The sequence below is a fragment of the Homo sapiens genome, chromosome 19 (assembly GCF_000001405.40).
Source record: "Homo sapiens chromosome 19, GRCh38.p14 Primary Assembly".
Classification (NCBI taxonomy): Eukaryota; Metazoa; Chordata; class Mammalia; order Primates; family Hominidae; genus Homo; species Homo sapiens.
Genome location: NC_000019.10, coordinates 19,575,111 through 19,593,518, shown reverse-complemented (window position 1 = coordinate 19,593,518; position 18,408 = coordinate 19,575,111). Strand labels below are relative to the sequence as shown.

At 50.2% G+C, this 18,408-nt stretch overlaps 1 protein-coding gene and 1 pseudogene across 7 annotated transcripts in view, besides 6 other annotated features; both read left to right on the top strand.

Annotated features, from left to right (window-relative positions):
- The window catches only part of PBX4 (PBX homeobox 4), a 56,975-nt gene that overhangs the window by 25,169 nt on the left and 13,398 nt on the right, over positions 1 to 18,408 (top strand). For 2 of the 7 annotated variants that reach the window (XM_011528320.4, XM_047439472.1), the window contains exon 3: positions 7,532 to 7,582. The exons of the other annotated variants lie outside the window; for them this stretch is intronic. In XM_011528320.4, coding sequence (XP_011526622.1) covers positions 7,532 to 7,582 — 51 coding nt within the window. The remainder of the gene's footprint in view (positions 1 to 7,531; positions 7,583 to 18,408) is intronic. 7 annotated transcript variants of the gene reach the window in all.
- Positions 279 to 903: an enhancer, noted in NCBI's record as "H3K27ac-H3K4me1 hESC enhancer chr19:19703425-19704049 (GRCh37/hg19 assembly coordinates)". NCBI's record gives its function as "activates a minimal SCP1, AML or CMV promoter by ChIP-STARR-seq in primed H9 embryonic stem cells {active_cell/tissue: H9 hESC(primed)}" and the evidence as "EXISTENCE:reporter gene assay evidence [ECO:0000049][PMID:30033119]".
- Positions 2,017 to 2,066: an enhancer, noted in NCBI's record as "active region_14362". NCBI's record gives its function as "activates an Ori minimal core promoter by ATAC-STARR-seq in GM12878 lymphoblastoid cells {active_cell/tissue: GM12878}" and the evidence as "EXISTENCE:reporter gene assay evidence [ECO:0000049][PMID:35858748]".
- Positions 2,227 to 2,386: an enhancer, noted in NCBI's record as "active region_14361". NCBI's record gives its function as "activates an Ori minimal core promoter by ATAC-STARR-seq in GM12878 lymphoblastoid cells {active_cell/tissue: GM12878}" and the evidence as "EXISTENCE:reporter gene assay evidence [ECO:0000049][PMID:35858748]".
- On the top strand, positions 5,080 to 5,913 carry PHF5AP1 (PHF5A pseudogene 1; annotated as a pseudogene).
- Positions 13,164 to 13,663: an enhancer, noted in NCBI's record as "H3K4me1 hESC enhancer chr19:19690665-19691164 (GRCh37/hg19 assembly coordinates)". NCBI's record gives its function as "activates a minimal SCP1, AML or CMV promoter by ChIP-STARR-seq in naive H9 embryonic stem cells {active_cell/tissue: H9 hESC(naive)}" and the evidence as "EXISTENCE:reporter gene assay evidence [ECO:0000049][PMID:30033119]".
- Positions 17,212 to 17,711: an enhancer, noted in NCBI's record as "NANOG-H3K4me1 hESC enhancer chr19:19686617-19687116 (GRCh37/hg19 assembly coordinates)". NCBI's record gives its function as "activates a minimal SCP1, AML or CMV promoter by ChIP-STARR-seq in naive H9 embryonic stem cells {active_cell/tissue: H9 hESC(naive)}" and the evidence as "EXISTENCE:reporter gene assay evidence [ECO:0000049][PMID:30033119]".
- Positions 17,712 to 18,213: an enhancer, noted in NCBI's record as "NANOG-H3K4me1 hESC enhancer chr19:19686115-19686616 (GRCh37/hg19 assembly coordinates)". NCBI's record gives its function as "activates a minimal SCP1, AML or CMV promoter by ChIP-STARR-seq in naive H9 embryonic stem cells {active_cell/tissue: H9 hESC(naive)}" and the evidence as "EXISTENCE:reporter gene assay evidence [ECO:0000049][PMID:30033119]".

Genomic DNA, 18,408 nt, shown 5'->3' with positions numbered 1-18,408 from the left:
AGCCTTCTAGTCTCGGAGACAAACCAGCCAGTGGCAGGAAAGTAAACAGGATTTCGATTCTGCTCCATCTGTCCTCATCCCGTGACTAGGAATGGCCAAGTCTCAGCCCAGAGGAAACTGTTCATGGTCCTGATCCTGCACCCTGTGGTACCCACGGGCCGCCTCTTGAAGGGCAATCCCATGAGCCGGGGTCCTGGCGTGCTTCTCGATTTAACCCACAGTTCTCACATTTCCCTCTGGCTGAAGTCTGCAGCAGGCCTTATGGTAAAGACCAAACTTCCACAGAGCATTTAAAGCCTGGTGGGGCAGGACATGGTGGCTCACACTTATAATCCCAGTACTTTGGAATCGCTTGAGCCCAAGAGTATGAGACCAACCTGGGCAACACAGTAAGACCCTGTCTCTACAACAACAACAACGGCAAAGATTAAGTCTGGTGGGTATTGATGGAGCCTGGGCAGGCAGCTCGGGGCTTCCTCGAGTTGTTCCCCAGAGCCCTGCACAGCCTCGGGCAGACCCTTTTCTCCCGTTTTACAGATGGGCAGTGGGAAGCTCTAAGAGACAGGGGCCTCCCCAGGGCACACCAGTCACCCACAGCCAGGCTGCATGCCGCCCCACCCCGTACACTGTCCTCACTCATGAAAGGGACCCAGGGCCTGTCCCTCATGGCCGGCACTCATGGGCCCCACACACCCACCTGTGTCATCTGAACAATGACCATTCCTGGCCAGCGCAGGGTCTAGGATGCGCTATGTTCTCAGGGTCTGTCCCGGTGCCTTTCTGTTTTTGTTGATTGAAAAACTGTTTCTGGTGACTGATACATACTAACTGAAATCCCTTTCATCCAGTTCCCCTTATGAGGTTCAGAAGATTCAGTGTCTGGGGGCCTGACTTAGAACACAGGGCTTATCACTCACAGCAGCCTGAAAAGAACGTGGTCCTCCATGTAAACCTGGCATCACCGGATGCACTGCCAGCAGTCCCTGGTGAACCCCAGGAATGGCCTGTCGGAGGTATGCAGGCAGGTCCCTCAAAGCTTGTCTCCTGGGGTCAGCTTCACCACACCACAGTGTCTGGGTGTTCCTGCCCTGCGGTGGTCTCTGAAGGCCAAGGACACCCTCAGCGTATGCATTTCCTCCCAAACCCTCCTTCCCAGAAACAGCTGTCCTCCTCGGTGTCTAGAGGAGCTGTTCTGAGAACAAAATAAACCCTGATTAGTTGCAGAGCTTTGAATTTAGCTGGGAGAACCAGATACGGGCCACAGTCCCTTTGCTGAGACCCTGGGACTAGGTATGTTGCAGAATTCGAAAGCGTTGGATTTAAGATGTGTCACGTTGGCCAGGTACAGTGGCTCACGCCTATAATCCCAGCACTTTGGGAGGCTGAGGCAGACGGATCACCTGAGGTCAGGAGTTCGAGACCAGCCTGGCCAATATGGTGAACCACCCCCCCACCTCCCTCACCCACCCATCTCTACTAAAAATACAAAAACTAGCTGGGCATGGTGGCGGGTGCCTATAATCCTAGCTACACGGGAGGCTGAGGCAGAAGAATCACTTGAACCTGGGATGTGAGGTTTGCAGTGAGCTGAGATCACACCACTGCACCCCAGCTTGGGCGACAAAGTGAGACTCTGCCTCTAAAAAAATATAAAAATAAAAAATAAGGTTTGTCACATTGATGTTCCCAGTGAGGACTGAGGCGTGGCCTGAATTCACACAGTGGTGTTTGGCACCAGAGCAGGGACAGCCTGGCACGTTGGAATGTGTCAGGCTTTACCTCCACATGAGCATGAGTGACAGCTTGTGTGAAAAGCTTCGGATCTCAGATCTCGAGTGGGTAGGCAGCTCCGAGGCGGTGTGCTGAGCCCCAGAGGCCCCTTGCAGACCCACTCGGCCATCCCATCCTGGGCCGTTCTTGAGAAGGGGCCTGCTTTGCCTTCTCCACCCTGTGACTGTGTCTCTGGGGAACAAGAAGTTTCTCAGCCAGGGCTGTTGTGCTGCAGGAACCCTTGCTGTGCTGTAGGAACGCACAGAGCCCCATTCAGAGGAGTAAATGTAAATAATGCATAACATCAGGGAATGCCTTTTTGTCTTCCTGACTAATGATTGGCCTTGCTAGTAGTTGGCAGGCATAAGCCATTCTCATTCTTTCCCTTCCTCGTCAGCTGGTCGGATCTGTTGCAATTACAGAATCGGGTTCTGTAAATTCAGCCAGGAAGCTGGGGTGTCATGGTGCTCATGGGGCTTTCCTGGGTCCTAGCAGTCACCCTGAGGCCTATGAGTCACCTCTCTGGAACTGAGATCCTTTTTCTAATTAGCTGTACCCTGGGGCTGAGTCCCATGTACATTTCTTTAGGGTTCTTGTGGGAGTAGACCCCGGCAGCTGGGGGACTTATTCTCCAGGTTGATTGGAGTATCCTTTCCTCCCCTCAGTCTCAGGGTAACTCACAAATTGAGCCCCTGAGTCTCATCAGCTGGGTGGCTCCAGATACTCAACGCAGGGCTGTTTACATTTGAATTAATTAAAACCAAATGCAATTAACCAGTGCATTCCTCAGCCACACCAGCCACATTTCAAGTCTCAGCAGCCACACAGGGCTGGTGCCTCCTATAATAGAAAGGTCTAGAACATCCTATCATTGCCAAAGTGTCTGTTGGACAGAGAAGTGGATCATTGTATATAAATATACAGATTAAGGAATCTGAAAACAACCTGATGTCCATGATAACTAGAAAAACAAAATGTGTGTCCAGGCGCCATGGCTCACACCTGTAATTCCAGCACTTTGGGAGGCCAAGGTGGGGGGATCATTTGAGGTCAGGGGTTCGAGACCAGCCTGGCCAACATGGTGAAACCCCGTCTCTACTAAAAATATAAAAATTAGCTGGGCGTGGTGGCATATGCCTGTAATCCCAGCTAATCGGGAGGCTGAGGCGCGAGAATCACTTGCACCTGGGAGGCGGAGGTTGCAGTGAGCGGAGATCACGCCACTGTACTCCAGCCTAGGTGACAGAGCAAGACTCTCTCTCAAAAAAAAAAAAAAAAGAAAGAAAACAAAACAAAACGTGGTCCATCCATGCAATGGAGTATTATTCAGCCATAAAGAGGAATGAAGTATTGGCACAGGCTGCAACATGGGTGCACCTTGAAAACATGATGCTGGGTAGGAGAAGCCAGATGTGAAGTGTCACATCACATGCTGTGTGATTCCATCAATATGAAGAGTCCAGATCAGGCAAATCCATAGAGACAGGAAGACTCGTGGTTGTCCCGGGGCTAGGGAGGGGGCGTAAAGAGTGACTGCTCATAGAGACGGGGTATCTTTAGGGAGGATGAGAATGTTAGCTAGTGGTGGTGGTCGCACAACCTTGGAAATAAACTAAAAACCACTGAAGTATTCACTTTAAGCAGATGAATTATATGGCATGTGAATTATATCTCAATAAAGCTTACCTCAAGGATTGAGGGTCTTTGGTAGGGGCCGTATCTAAAACAGTGTGCCTGTAGCTTAAGGCCTTAGTGCACATACACATTCTTATGAATTAGCACTTCTTTGCTGCCTCTTAGGGCTTAACCACTGACGGAAACTGTCTTGTGTGCTTGCACTTTTCTGGTTTGTCTTCTGACCTCTGACTCCTTTCCTGGAAGACCAGCATCAAGAAAGCACAAGGCAGATCTGTGGTTCATCTCTGCCCTGTTGTGGGATTGGCACACCGTAGATACTAGGGAGCTTCTTTTTTTCTTTTGAGATGGAGTCTCGCTCTGTCACCCAGGCTGGAGTGCAATCGTGCGATCTCGGCTCACTGCAACCTCCACTTCCCGGGTTCAAGCGGGTCTCCTGCCTCAGCCTCCCAAGTAGCTGGGATTACAGGTGCCCGCCACCATGCCCAACTAATTTTTGTATTTTTAGTAGAGATGGGATTTCACCGCGTTGGCCAGGCTGGTTTCGAACTCCTGACCTCAGGTAATCCACCCGCCTCGGCCTCCCAAAGTGCTGGGATTTACAGGCATGAGCCACCGTGCCTGACCAGAACTTTTTTTTCTTTCTTTTTCTTTGTCTTTAGTTATTTATTTATTTATTTTAGACAGAGTCTCGCTCAGTTGCCCAGGCTGGAGTGCAGTGGTGCAATCTCGGCTCGCTGCAAGCTCCACCTCCTGGGTTCGGGTTCATGCCATTCTCCTGCCTCCGCCTCCTGAGTAGTTGGGACTACAGGCGCCCACCACCACACTCCTCTAATTTTTTGTATTTTTAGTAGAGATGGGGTTTCATCGTGTTAGCCAGGATGGTCTCGATCTCCTGACCTCGTGATCCGCCGGCCTCGACCTCTCAACGTGCTGGGACTATAGGTGTGAGCCACCGCACCCAGCCTCTTTTTACGTTCTTTTTTTGAGTCAAGATCTCGCTCTGTCATGCGGGTTGGAGGCACTGGTGTGATCATAGCTCACTGCTCCCTTGAATTCCCGGGCTCAAGTGATCCTCCTGCCTCAGCCTCTGGAGTAGCTGGGACTACAAGTGGGCACCACCATGCCTGGATATTTTTTTGTGGAGATGGGATCTTGCTGTGTTGCCCAGGCTGGTCTTAAACTCTTGTCCTCAAGCAATCCTCCCTTCTCAGCCTCTAAAAGTGCTGGGATTACAGGGATGAGCCAACCTGTCCAGCCCTGGTGAACTTATTGATAGATCAGTTCCTTGGGAAATTCTTTTTAGAGTAGTCAGGGCATTGGATGACCTAAAACTCTTTGATTCGCAGGCTGGGAATTGGTTGGTCATGGTTAGTGTGCATGTTGCTAGGCTGGTTACCTCCCTGTGTGAGACTCAGCCAAAGAGGCACCACACCTCATGGTGACTGTAGCCCAGCTCCTGAAGCTTCTAGACCTTTCCCCCATGGCTCTCATTTGTTGTTGTTTGAAATTAGAGCATTTCTTCAGATGAAAAAATTGGGCCACACGGTGGCTCACACCTGTAATGCCAGCACTTTCGGAGGGTGAGGCGGGTAGATCACGAGGTCAGGAGTTCGAGACCAGCCTGGCCAACATGGTGAAACCCTGTCTCTACTAAAAATACAAAAATTGTGTGGTGGCCAGCTTAGTTGGGAACTATGGCTAAACATCATCCTGATTTGATCTTTTGCCGCAAGCAGGCTGGTGTTGCCATCAGATGACTGTGTGAAAAATGTGATGGCAAATGTGTTATCTGTGACTCCTATGTGCGTCCCTGCACTCTGGTGTGCATATGTGATGAATGTAACTATGGATCTTACCGGGGCTCTGTGTGATCTGTGGAGGCCCTGGGGTCTCTGATGCCTATTATTGTAAGGAGTGCACCATCCAGGAGAAGAATAGGGATGGCTGCCTGAAGATTGTCTATTTGGGGAGCTCTAAGACCTCTTCTATGAACGCAAAAAATACGGCTTCAAGAAGAGGTGATTGGTAAGTGGCCCCTTCCTCCCCACCGCCCCACATCAAGCTGCTGCAGCTTTCAGAAAAGATGCCTACTATTACCAGCAGAAAGGGAGCAGAGCCCAGAGCATCACCAGGAGTGCCTGCTGGTGTACTGGCAGCTTGCCACCCCCTCCTCTCCCTTCACCCAGGCATGTAGTAGGGATGTAAAAGGATTCTTCACAGAGCACTCTGGGACACTGTATCGGAGAAAAACTGATAGATTAATTAATGTTTTTTCTTGAATTCGAGAAGCAAAGATCTGTTCTCCATATTGATATGTGCTCCCTCAACCAAGATCTTCTAAAAAGAAATAATATTTTAGTCTTCTGCTTGAGTAGTTGACTGTGAAACTACGCTCAGTGGAAAACATGTTCTTGCAGCAGCTCTGTGGCAGCTGTCCTTGAGGAACCTTTGGTGTGTGGTGGGAAGCTATCAGAACAAGAAATGTAGGCATTTACTCTTTTTTTTTTTTTTTTTTTTTAATTTGAGACGGAGTCTTGCTCTGTCACCCAGGCTGGAGTGCAATGGCTCGATCTTGGCTCACCACAACCTCTGCCTCCCGGGGTCAAGCAGTTCTCCTGCCTCAGCTGCCCAAGTAGCTGGGATTACAGGAGTCCGCCACCACGCCCGGCTAATTTTTGTATTTTTAGTAGAGATGGGGTTTCACCACGTTGGCCAGGCTGGTCTCAAACTCCCGACCTCAGGTGATATGCCCGCCTTGGCCTTCCAAAGTGCTGGTATTACAGGCGTGAGCCACTGCTCCCGGCCTACTGTTTTAACACTTGTACTGGTGTCATGTTATTTTCATTCTGAGAAATTGGAAACCCTTTCTATTGCTATTAATAAAGTTCGTGTTTATTTTCTGGTAGTCAAAAAACAAAAACAAAACAAAAAAACAAAAATTAGCTGGGTGGGGTGGCGGGTGCCTGTAATCCCAGCTACTTGTGAGGGTGAGGCAGGAGAATCACTTGAACCTGAGAGGCAGAGGTTGCAGTGAGCCAAGATTGTGCCACTGCACTCCAGCCTGGGCAATAGAGTGAGACTGCGTCTCAAAAAAATTAAAAAGAAAAAGAAAATTGTTTATGGTAGATAGAAGCCATCAGTGAGTGCTGTTTTTCTTTTTCTTTTTCTTTTTCTTTTTTTGAGACGGAATCTCACTCTGTCGCCCATGCTGGAGTACAGTGGCGCGATCTCGGCTCACTGTAACCTTCACCTCCTGGGTTCAAACGATTCTCCTGCCTCAGCCTCCTGAGTAGCTGGGACTACAGGTGCATGCCACCACGCCTGGCTAATTTTTTGTATTTTTAGTAAAGATGGGGTTTTACCGTGTTAGCCATGATAATCCTGATCTCCTGACTTCGTGGCCTCCCAAAGTGCTGGGATTACAGGCAGGAGCCATCATGCCCGGCCAAGTGCTGTTTTTCTTAGCTGTGGCTCTTAAATGTTTGCAACTCCTCACAGGGGCTTGTTTTTCCAGATGTGCTGCCTGGCACATCTGGAAAAATATATATTACAGCACTATATATTACAGTGTTTTGCTGTCTTCCTTTTGCCCTGTTACCACATGCAAGGACAGTAGCACAGAAAAACAAGCCTAAACCGCATATCATTTTTACTCAGCATTAGCAGCTCATATAATTGTTTGTTTATTTTTTGAGACAGGGTCTTGCTCTGTCTCAAAGAGACAGGCTGGAGTACAGTGGCATGATCATGGCTCAATGCATTCTTGACTTCCCAGGTTCAGGTGATCCTCCCACCTCAGCCTCTCAAGTAGCTGAGACTACAGATAGAAGCCACCATATCCGGCTAATTTTTGTACTTTTTATAGATGGGGGTCTTGCTGTGTTGCCCAGGCTGGTCTGGGACTCCTGGGCTTAAGTGATCCTCCCGTCTCAGCCCCTCAAAGTGCTAGGATTACAGGCATAAGCCACCACATGCTCAGCCTATTTATTTTTTAAATGTACAGAACAGTAGGCATTTTTTTAAAAATCACATACTAGTTTATTTCAGAACTGCAGTGTTTTAATTAACAAACATGTAAACATATGGAAATGAAATTAATTTGCATATTTGATTGTGGTTCCAGCATCTTCATTTCTCACGCGTCCGTGTGAAGAGACCACCAAACAGGCTTTCTGTGAGCAACATGGCTGTTTATTTCACCTGGGTGCAGGTGGGCTGAGTCCAAAAAGAGAGTCAGCAAAGGGTGGTGGGATTATCATTAGTTCTTATAGGTTTTGGGATAGGCGGTGAAGTTAGGAGTAATGTGTTTTTTGGGCAGGGGGTGGATCTCACAAAGTACATTCTCAAGGGTGGAAAGAATTACAAAGAACCTTCTTAAGGGTGGGGGAGATTACAAAGTACATTGATCAGTTAGGGTGGGGCAGAAACAAATTACAATGGTGGAATGTCATCAGTTAAGGCTATTTTCACTTCTTTTGTGGATCTTCAGTGGCTTCAGGCCATCTGGATGTATACGTGCAGGTCACAAGGGATATGATGGCTTAGCTTGGGCTCAGAGGCCTGACACACTTCAGTTGTGACTGGTTGTGATGTATTTTAATTAGAGATGACGGAGATTTGCCTAGTGTGATAATCCCTCAGTTGGGTGAATATCTAGTGTGTGGCAGCCACTATTTCAGAAACTGATGAGTGTTTTTTAAGGGTTATTCTTTTTAAAGTCCTGTGGATCTGAGAAACTTCCATGACTTAAGATAAGGATTTATCTAGAATGTTACTTTTTTTTTTTGAGATGGAGTCTCACACTGTCACCCAGGCTGGAGTATAGTGGCGCAATCTGGACTCACCTCAACCTCTGCCTCCCGGGTTCAAGAGATTCTCCTGCCTCAGCCCCCCAAGTAGCTGGAATTACAGGTGTGCACTACCACGCCCAGCTAATTTTATATTTTTAATAGAGATGGGGTTTCACCATGTTGGCCAGGCTGGTCTGCCTCAGAGAACAGAACAAAGCCTGTTCTAGCGCCTGTCCTAGAATGTTACTTAAATGAACTAACCTGTGGGATGTGGCCTAAAAGGTAAAGCCAGGCAGTTCTTAATACAAACAGGCTGGGCTCCAGAAGTCTCCTTGTTTAGAGTTAAGGAGTAAACTCAGTGCCCATGATGCCCAGGAAACCATAAGATAAAACAGCCCTTGGGCCAGGAGGTGGCTCGCGCCTGTAATCCCAGCCCTTTGGGAGGCCAAGGGGGTGATCACGAGGTCAGGAGCTCGAGACCAGCCTGGCCAACATAGTGAAACCCCATCTCTACTAAAAATACAAAAATTAGCCAGGCATGGTGGTGCATGCCTATAGTCCCATCTACTCAGGAGGCTGAGGCAGGAGAATCGCTTGAACCCTGGAGGTGGAGGTTGCCGTGAGCCGAGATTGTGCCACTGCACTCCAGTTTAGGCAACAGAGTGAGACTTCATCTCAAAAAAAAAAAAAAAAAAAACCAGCCCTTGGTCATGTCAGACCACACCTTGAGGTCTGTTGGGGGCAGTGTGGAGGGGAGGGGAAGTTGTCCATTACATCCATGACTCTCTGGGTTACTCCAGCTGTAGGGACACCCTTCAGCCTGTGAGTGGGTCACATCTTCTTCGTCATGCCTTGCTGCCTGCTGGTCTGTCCCCCTCCCGAGTTTCTGGTCTCCTTGACTGGACCCTGCTGGTCTGAGCCGAGGAGGGACCTCCCTGTCTACCTGTGTCTGATTTGAATCAGTGGCTTTAAAATATCTCCAGGAAGACTGGGGTTTGCTGTGGGGCTTGAGGACATGCCCATTATCAGGTTAAGGAAGGTTCTTTCTATTCTTTGATTTGCCTGTGGGTTTTTTATTTTTTTGAATCAGAGTCTCGCTCTGTCACCCAGGCTGGAGTGCAGTGGCACGATCTTGGCTCACTGCTACCTCCGCCTCCTGGGTGCAAGCGGTTCTCGAGCCTCCACCTCCTGAGTAGCTGGGATTACAGGTGTGCACCACTACACCCAGCTAATTTTTCTTTCTTTCTTCTTGAGATGAAGTTTCGCTCTTGTTGCCCAGGCTGTAGTGCAATGGCATGATCTCGGCTCACCACAACCTCCGCCTCGTGGGTTCAAGCAATTCTCCTGCCTCAGCCTCCCGAGTAGCTGGGATTACAGGCATGTGCCACCATGCCCAGCTAATTTTGTATTTTTAGTAGAGATGGGATTTCTCCATGTTGGTCAGGCTGGTCTCCAACTCCTGATCTGAGGTGATCTTCCCGCCTCAACCTCCCAAAGTGCTGGGTTTACAGGCGTGAGCTTTTTCTATTTTTAGTAGAGATGGGGTTTCACTATGTTGGCCAGGCTGGTCTGGAACTCCTGACCTCAGGTGATTCCCCCCAACCCCAGCCTCCTAAAGTGCTGGGATTAGGGCATGAGCTACCGTGCCTGACCAGGTTTGCCCAAGGGTTTTAATTGATTTTGTTAATTTTCTGTATCTTTTTTTGGTGGGAGAGGGGGTCTTACTTTGTCGAACTGGCTGGAGTGCAGTGGCGCAGTCAGCTCACTGCAGCCTCAAACTCCGGGGCTCAAGCGATCTTCCTGTCTCAGCTTCTCGAGTAGCTGGGATTACAGGTGTGTGCCACCAAACCTGACTCATTTTTTAAAATTTTTTGTAGAGATGGGGTCTTGCTATGTTGCCCAGGCTGCTCTCAAACTCCTGAGCTGAAGTGATCTTCCCACCTCAGCCTCCCAAAGTGCTGGGATTACAGGGTGAGCCACTGAACCTGGCCTTTCTGCATCTTTGTTTTGTTTTGTTTTGTTTTGTTTTGTTTTGTTTTTTTGAGACGGAGTCTCGCTTTGTTGCCCAGGCTGGAGTGCAATGGCACGATCTCGGCCCACTGCAAGCTCCACCTCCCAGGTTCAAGCTATTCTCATGTCTCAGCCTCCCAAGTAGCTGGGATCACAGTAAAGACGGGGTTTCGCCATGTTGGTCAGGTTGGTCTTGAACTCCTGACCTCAGGTGATCCACCTACCTCAGCCTCCCAAAGTGCTGGGATTACAGGCATGAGCCACCGCGCCTGGCCACCTCCGCTCTCTTGCTGGGAAAGAGTTCATGACGCAGGCCTGAGCTTGGTGTTCCCGGAGCCCGGGTGAAACAGGAGTGTTCCCTTTTCCCCCTTGCAGGGTGTGTGACGGATGTGGCTCACTTCTTCGGTGCCCCACAGCTCAAACCCCTAAGGGGGAGCATGCAGTCAGACAGGTGGGGGGAACGTGGTCTCCAACCCCACAGCAGCAGCGCAGCGTCTTAGGGTTGTGTTTATAGCTCCCAAAGCCCCAGTGGGCATGCGTTACAGTGTGCTCTTTCAGCTTAGCTGAAAGAGAAGCAGGCTTCTTGTGTTAATCAGCTCAGTTAGACCCTCTGCCCTATCTCAAGGACAAAGGGCTTTCTATATTCTGGGGTTCTTGCCTTAGTGTACTGGAAAAATCGGATCACATGTGGGCATGGAGAATGAGTACAGGGTTTTACTGAGTGGTGTAGGTAGCTCTCAGCAGATGGATGGGGGGCCCAAAGGGGGTTGGATTGGGAAGGTGGTTTTGCCCTGGAGTTGGGCCGCTCAGTGACTGGGCTCTCCTGGATTTCCCTTGGTGTCTGCATTGTTCCACCATCAATGGCCCGCCAGTGTCTATTGGTGTGTTCTTCTGCTGGTGTGTTCCTCTCGACTTCCAGCTGCTTGTGTGTGTCTGCTTAAGGTCTCAGGCTTATTTGGGCACAAGATGTGGGGCGTGGCAGGCCAAAAGGCAACCTTTTGGCCACAAAAACAGAAATGCTTGTTCTCACTTAGGTCCGAGGGCACAGGGCCGAGGGTGGAGCCCTCGCCAGGGACCCCGCCCTTCTCTACCCAGCACTTCCTTGCCCCACTCCCGTATCACTGGGAAGCTAGATTGGAGCTGAGAGGTGAGAGGAGTGTGCAGCAGCAGGATTTGGGGGGTGGGAGGAGGTGCCAGGAGCAAATGAGGCCAGATCCCAAAGGTAGGGGGCCTTGGGTTCTCATGGAAGAGTCCTGCTGGCCTTCTGCCTTCACTGTGTTGGGCTCCCCAGCCTCCTGCTGGGGCCACCCCACGATGTCCTTCACATCCCAGGGCACTCTCCTGGGGAATCAGGCGGTACCACTTCCTCCATAGGCCTCTCACAGCCAGTCTCGTCTCCTGCTGCTCAGAGCACCACCCAGCCACTTGGAAGCCCCCACCTATTCTCACACTGTCACCTTGCATCGTGGCAGGAACACCTTCCTTGGCCAATAACCTTATCCAGTCCCTCAGCTCCCAAAGCCAATGGCAGCACCGCATGACCTGGGTTCCCGCAGCCTTCCTGACACCCCTGGGCTGGCATTCTTGGGGTTGGACAGGCCTGCTTCCCACCAAACAGGTCTCCCAAAGTGAGTAGGTCGCTCCTCCTGCAGCGTGGCCTTTGTCTCCCCTTCCTTGTTTGGTGTCCTGGTGTTTTCTCCACTGGAAGTGCTGGAGCAGGCGCTCTGCCCTGTGTCATCACCTCCCTGACACAGGAACGTGGAATGCCGGCTCCTTCCAAGTGGCAGTGCCACCGCCACCCGCAAGACAGTAATGACGCAGAGGGGAAGCAGGCATCCTACAGATGCGTGCGAGGAAATAGGTTTACTCTCAATTCTGGACTGTTCCACCCCAGCTCTTACGGGCCCTGAGAGTTTGGATCTGGGACTGGGGTGGTTCAGAGGCTCATCAGAGCTTCCAGCAGCAGCTCAGGCTCAGCCTTCAGGCCCCTCCAGCCTCAGGCACGGTTTTGGCCACCCCAGCATGGTGGCCATGTAAAACAGAAGCAAGATGAACTACTGGGGAAAAGAAAGGAAAAATAAAACAGACATACAAGTCAGTAAGGCCAAAAGTTGTGTTAAATTCAATAGACATCAAATTACTCTGTCAAATTGCAATACATTTCCATGTGCGGATGCTGGTGTCTGTGCTGGCCTCGCTGTAGGCAGGTGACAGGTGTGGGCTGGCCCAGAGGACAGATCACCTTTCTAGGAGTCCTACTCTAAACAAGGTAAAATCTGGTCGGGCGTAGTGGTTCATGCCTGTAATCCTAGCACTTTGGGAGGCCAAGGCAGGAGGATCACTTGAATCCAGGGGTTCAAGACCAGCCTGGGCAACATGGCAAAACCTCGTCTCTACAAAAAATATAAAAATTAGCTGGGCAGGGTGGCGCATGCCTGTAGTCCCAGCTACTCAGGAGGCTGAGGCGGGAGGATCACTTGAGCCCAGGAAGTCAAGGCTGCAGCGTGCCACTGCACTCCTGCCTGAGTGACCTCCCCAGTAGCTGGTGTTTTTTCTTTTAAGCAGTTGAGGTCTAAGTACAGAAGGTTATTTACCACCTGCCTCCCCTATCCCTGTCCTCCAATATCAGAGGCCTTGTTTAGGGAGGAAACACTCTCACTACAAATGAAAGTGGCTCCTGGTGAGCACCTTGCCAGAATGCCTTGTAGAACTCATTTCCTTATTACCTTTGGCTCTTTGACTACAAGATAAGCTGGAGCTGATGGAAGTTGAGCTCTCCTTCTGAAAACTGGAACAGGAAAGTTAACCTCAGCCCAGGTCCCAGTTACCACGCTGGGTCCCACCGGCAGAACTGTGGCCAGTGGCCCCGTTCTTTCTAAGGGTCACTGGTCAGGAGGCCAGTAGCATAGGAGACCCCGGTAGCAGCAGCAAGACCCTGGTTCTTATCCCCCCAGGGCAAGCAGCAGCCACTTGTCATCCTCAAAGCTCAGGCCCAGCACTCAGTAGGTGCTCAGTAAGTGACTGAAAAAGCCTCAAAAGGTTTCTAGAAAGCAGGAAGTCCCCATGTTTTCTCCTTCATGTCGATTCTCACCTGTGCAGAGTCACCGGCACTGTCAGTTCCAGACACGGTGGGTGGGCCCGAGGGCAGGCGGACATGCTTGTCTGCGCCTGCGCCTGTGTGATCAGAGCAAGCTGTGACTATAGGTACTCATTGCAACTCAGGTCGGCGCACTAGGCTTTGGCTCTCTGTCACCAAAGGACTCCTCAAAGAGAGATTTGGCCGCCTCTCACCAGGCGTCAACCCTCTGTCCCAGATTCCACAGTTTAATCCGTCTCCAACGCTCATTCCGGCTGTGGATGGTGGGGGGAGATGGGGAGGAGGCTCAGCCTCCACGATCGATTGATTGGCACAGGAGGCCCTGCCTCTGCTTTTGAGGGGCCAGCTTCTTGCTGATTTGAGACAGCAGGGAGAGCGTGAGGTGAGTGTTTTGCTTAGTCCCATACCCTGATGGGCTCTGGGCCGGGCCTGCGGTTCTATGTAATTCCATCCAGTCAGTTGCCTGGGGCAGCTCCGTTCACAACTGGGGCTTGCGGCCAGCGGAGTGACCACTGACAGCCACATGACTGGAAAGTGGCAGACCCGAGGGGTCAGTCAGGGCATCTGATTTAATCCATGGGTTAGCCTTCTCCCTATGGGGCTGGGGTCCCAGAGATGGTTCCCACTTGCTGTGGGAAGGAGGCGGGAGCACAGCCCGCTGCCAAGTGAGAGCACTGCTGAGTGGGTGAGGGGGCAGGTGAGCAGCTTGGGGAAGTCAGGGCAAAGGAGGGTTCCCTCTGAGCCTTCTGCTTTTCCCCACGTCTTTGTTCCTGGGGAGAAAAATTAAAGCAACTTGGGGTTATGTTACTGTCTTAGTCTACTCAGGCCACCCTAACAAAATGCCACAGACTGGGTGATTTTTTTTTTTTTTGAGACGGAGTCTCACTCTGTTGCCAGGCTGTAGTGGCTTAATCCCGGCTCACTGCAACCTCCGCCTCCCAGGTTTAAGCGATTCTTCTGCCTCAGCCTCCTGAGTAGCTGAGATTACAGGCACACGCCACCATGCCCGGCTAATTTTTGTATTTTTAGTAGAGATGGGGTTTCACCATATTGGCCAGGATGGTCTCGATCTATTGACCTTGTGATCCACCCTCCTTGGCCTCCCAAAGTGCTGGGATTACAGGTATGAGCCACCACGCCCGGCCCAGACTGGGTGGTTTACAAAATAGAAATTTATTTCTCACAGTTCTGGGGCCTAGAAAGTCCCAGACGAAGGTGCTGGCCAGGTAGTTCATTATGAGGCCTTTTCTCTTGGCTTGTAGGCGGCCGCCATCTTACTGTGAGCTCACATGACCTCTTAGGGAAAGCGAGCTCCCTGAGGTCTCTGCCCATCAGGACATTAATCCTATCAGATCAGGGCCACATCCTTATGACCTCATTTAACCTTAACTGCCTCCTAAAAGCGTCACCTCCAAATAGTCACGTTGGGAGTTAGGGCTTCGACATGTGAATTTGGAGGTGACACAAACATTCGGCTCACAGCATTGCCATATTGTTTCTTAGAAAAACATAATCCCGATTTTATTTTATGTCATTGTTTGATTTACTGGAGTTTCTGCCACACACAGTAAGTTGGGAACAGAAGGAAGCCTGGCAGTTTGAGGAGGGGGGTACCTTTGTTTTAAGTCTGTTTCCCCATGTCAGTGCCTCCGACAGATGGTATCCCTGAACCAAGCTTCTGGTACCTCCAGCCTCCCTGCCTGCCAGTCAAGGGCCCTGGGGGAGCTGAGGAGCACAGCTGAGAAGCTCTGGAACAGTCACCGGAACTGAGCTTGCTGTAATTGATGGTAATGCATGTCTAATGACCATAATTAGGCCAGCATCAGTGTACGGGGAGCACAAAGGCACGGTGCTGAGGAAGCTGTTGTAGGCACCACCCAAGAGGCAGCTGGCAGGGCAGATGTCCCCAGCATGGACTGATGGTGGTGACCAAGGCACAGCGTTTCTCCTCGGTAACTTAGCTTTTTAAGTTTTGCTTTTGCTTATAACACATATATAGCAAAAATGCATTTTTTTTTTTTTTTTTGAGATGGAGTCTTGCTGTTTCCCAGGCTGGAGTGCAGTGGCATGATCTTGGCTCACTGCAACCTCTACCTCCTGGGTTCAGGCAGATCTCCTGCCTCAGCCTCCCAAGTAGCTGAGATTACAGGCTTGTGCCATCACACCTAGCTAATTTTTTTTTTTTTTTTTTTTTTTTTAGTAGAGATGGGTTTTCACCATGTTGGCCAGGCTAGTCTCAAACTCCTGGCCTCAAGTGATCTGCCTGCCTCGGCCTCCCAAAGTGCTGGAATTATAGGCATGAGCCACCTTGCCCAGCCTCAAAAGCATAATCTTTTTTTTTTAATTATTATTTTTTTAGATGGAGTCTCCCTTTGTCGCCAGGCTGGAGTGCACTGGCGCGATCTCAGCTCACTGCAACCTCTGCCTCACAGTTCCAAGCGATTCCCCTGCCTCAGCCTCCCAAGTAGTGGGGACTACAGGCACGCGCCACCACGCTTGGCTAATTTTTGTATTTTTAGTAGAGATGGGGTTTCACCGTGTCAGCCAGGATGGTCTCGACCTCTTGACCTCAAGATCCACCCACCTCCCAAAGTGCTGGGATTATAGGCGTGAGCCACCAAGCCCGGCCAAAAATGTGTAATCTTAAAGAAATAAGGCTTATCACATCTGATTGCCTCATAATGGCACCCTCAAGAGACACAGGTGACACCACAGGGCCCGAGGGTGACAGGTATGCTGTCTGTGCCCAAACTCATGCACATCTGCACCCTTCTGGTCGCCCACGATTACAAACACTGTGCCTCCTGTAAATACATCTTTGTAGGTGTCAGTACCCCTGTAGGATAAATTCCAGGTACAGAATGGGAATTTGGAGATTAAAGATTATGCACTTTTTCAAGGTTAACCAGTATCTCAAAACTCTTCTCCAGAAATGCTGTACAATGCATACCCCATGAAGAGTAAATGGAAAGGCACAGGTGTTCTCACTTTAATTTGAGAGTTTTTTTTTTTTTTTTTTGACATGGAGTCTCGCTCTGTTTCCCAGGTTGGAGTGCAGTGGCACAATCTTGGCCCACTGCAGCCTCAGCCTCCTGAGTAGCTGGGATTACAGGCATGCACCACCATGCTCAGCTAATTTTGTATTTTTAGTAGAGATGGTGTTTCACCATGTTGGCCAGGCTGGTCTTGAACTTTTGACCTTAAGTGATTCGCCCGCCTCAGCCTCTCACTGTAATTTGAGAGTTTTAATTGGAGAACAGTAAGTCCTGTGGGTTTTGGTATATTTTTTTAAAATCCTCGGGCCAGGTGTGGTGGCTCACAACTATAATCCCAAGCACTTTGGGAGGCCAAGGTGGAGGCTCGCTTGAGGACAGGAGTTTGAGACCAGCCTGGGCAACATAGTGAGATGCCATCTCTACAAAAATAAAAAATTAGCCAGGTGTGGTGGCATGTGTATAGTTCCAACTACTCAGGAAGCTGAGGCAGGAGGATCGCTTGACCCCAGGAGGTCGAGGTTACAGAAAGCTATGATGATGCTACTATATTCCACCCTAGGCAACAGAGACAGACCCCAAAAATAATAAATACAATAAAAATCCTCAACACTTAGTGTGGTACCTGGCTTGTGATGGGCTCTCAGATGTTTGTTGTTGGATAAGTAAATGATTTAAAAAAAAAATTTTTTTTTTTGGCCAGGCACAGTGGCTCACACCTGTAATCCCAGCACTTTGGGAGGTCAAGGTGCGTGGATCACGAGGTCAGGAGATTGAGATCATCCTGGCCAACATGGTGAAACCCCGTCTCTACTAAATATACAAAAATTAGCTGGGCATGGTGGCGTGTGCCTGTAATCCCAGCTACTTGGGAGGCTGAGGCAGGAGAATTGCTTGAACCAAGGAGTCGGAGGTTGCAGTGAGCCGAGATCGTGCCACTGCACTCCAGCCTGGCAACAGAGCGAGACTTCGTCTCAAGAAAAAAAAAATTTTTTTAGAAACAGGATCTCACCATGTTGCCCAGGCTGGTCTTGAACTCCAGAGGTCAAGCAGTCCTACCACCTCAGCCTCCCAAAGTGCTGGGATTATAGATATAAGCCACCTCGCCCAGCCCCTAAATACATAAATGAATGAATGAAAGAATGCCACATATTCTGCGGCAGCCCTGCATTTCACACCCACATGAACACACACACTCTCATTACACTGCATGTGCCAACATTGACCATGCTCCTTTCCCTATTTCAAATGGGCCTGTAATGGAAGGTGTGGAGGTGGCTTTCCTCACCCCGGCTGTCAGAGCATGCTGGGGTCCTGTGTGGAGGGACTGAGTCCTGTGTATCCTCCGCCCACACATGACACCTGGCCGCGACCTCCATGGGTGCTCAGGAAGGAGCTGTTGAACAAGATTCAGGGGCACGTGGGACATCTGTGCTTGTCAGAGGCTGTGCAAGGCTCCGCGAGGGAACAGTTCCAAAGGCAGGTCCAGAAGGATGTTAGAGGCTGGGTTTCTTTTGAACAAAAGAGCAGCATGATGTGTTTGAAAAGGGTTGGCCTGCAGGTGTGCATGAGGGATGGGAGGGGAGAGACTTTCCTCCGCAGGTCACAAAGGGCAGGAGAGGGTTAGCACAGTAGGGACCTAGGGAGGGATAAGTGGAAAGTTGATTGTTGAGGCAGAATCAATAGGATTTGAAAACAGAGGGACTACAGAGAGGACAGCCATTGTCTGTTTTGAGCCAGGAGAGATTAGGAGGAGAGGGGAGGGTTATTACGAGGAATAGGCAAACACAGGCTAATTCTGGGAGCGGCCTTTACCTGGCTGTCCAAGGGTGTCCACTTGCTGTGACTGTCACCCAGATCTGTAAGGCCCAGATTGTAGGCACAGCACCCCATGAGCATCATTCCAAGTGGGCTGTCCTCGCTCATGGGTGCTGGCAGTGGGAGGAACTAAAACAGACAGCTGGAGCTTTTTTTTTTTTTTTTTGAGACAGAGTCTCGCTCTGTTGCCCAGGCTGGAGTGCAGTGGCGCAATCTCGGCTCACTGCAAGCTCCACCTCCCGGGTGCACGCCATTCTCCTGCCTCAGCCTCCTGAGTAGCTGGGACTACAGG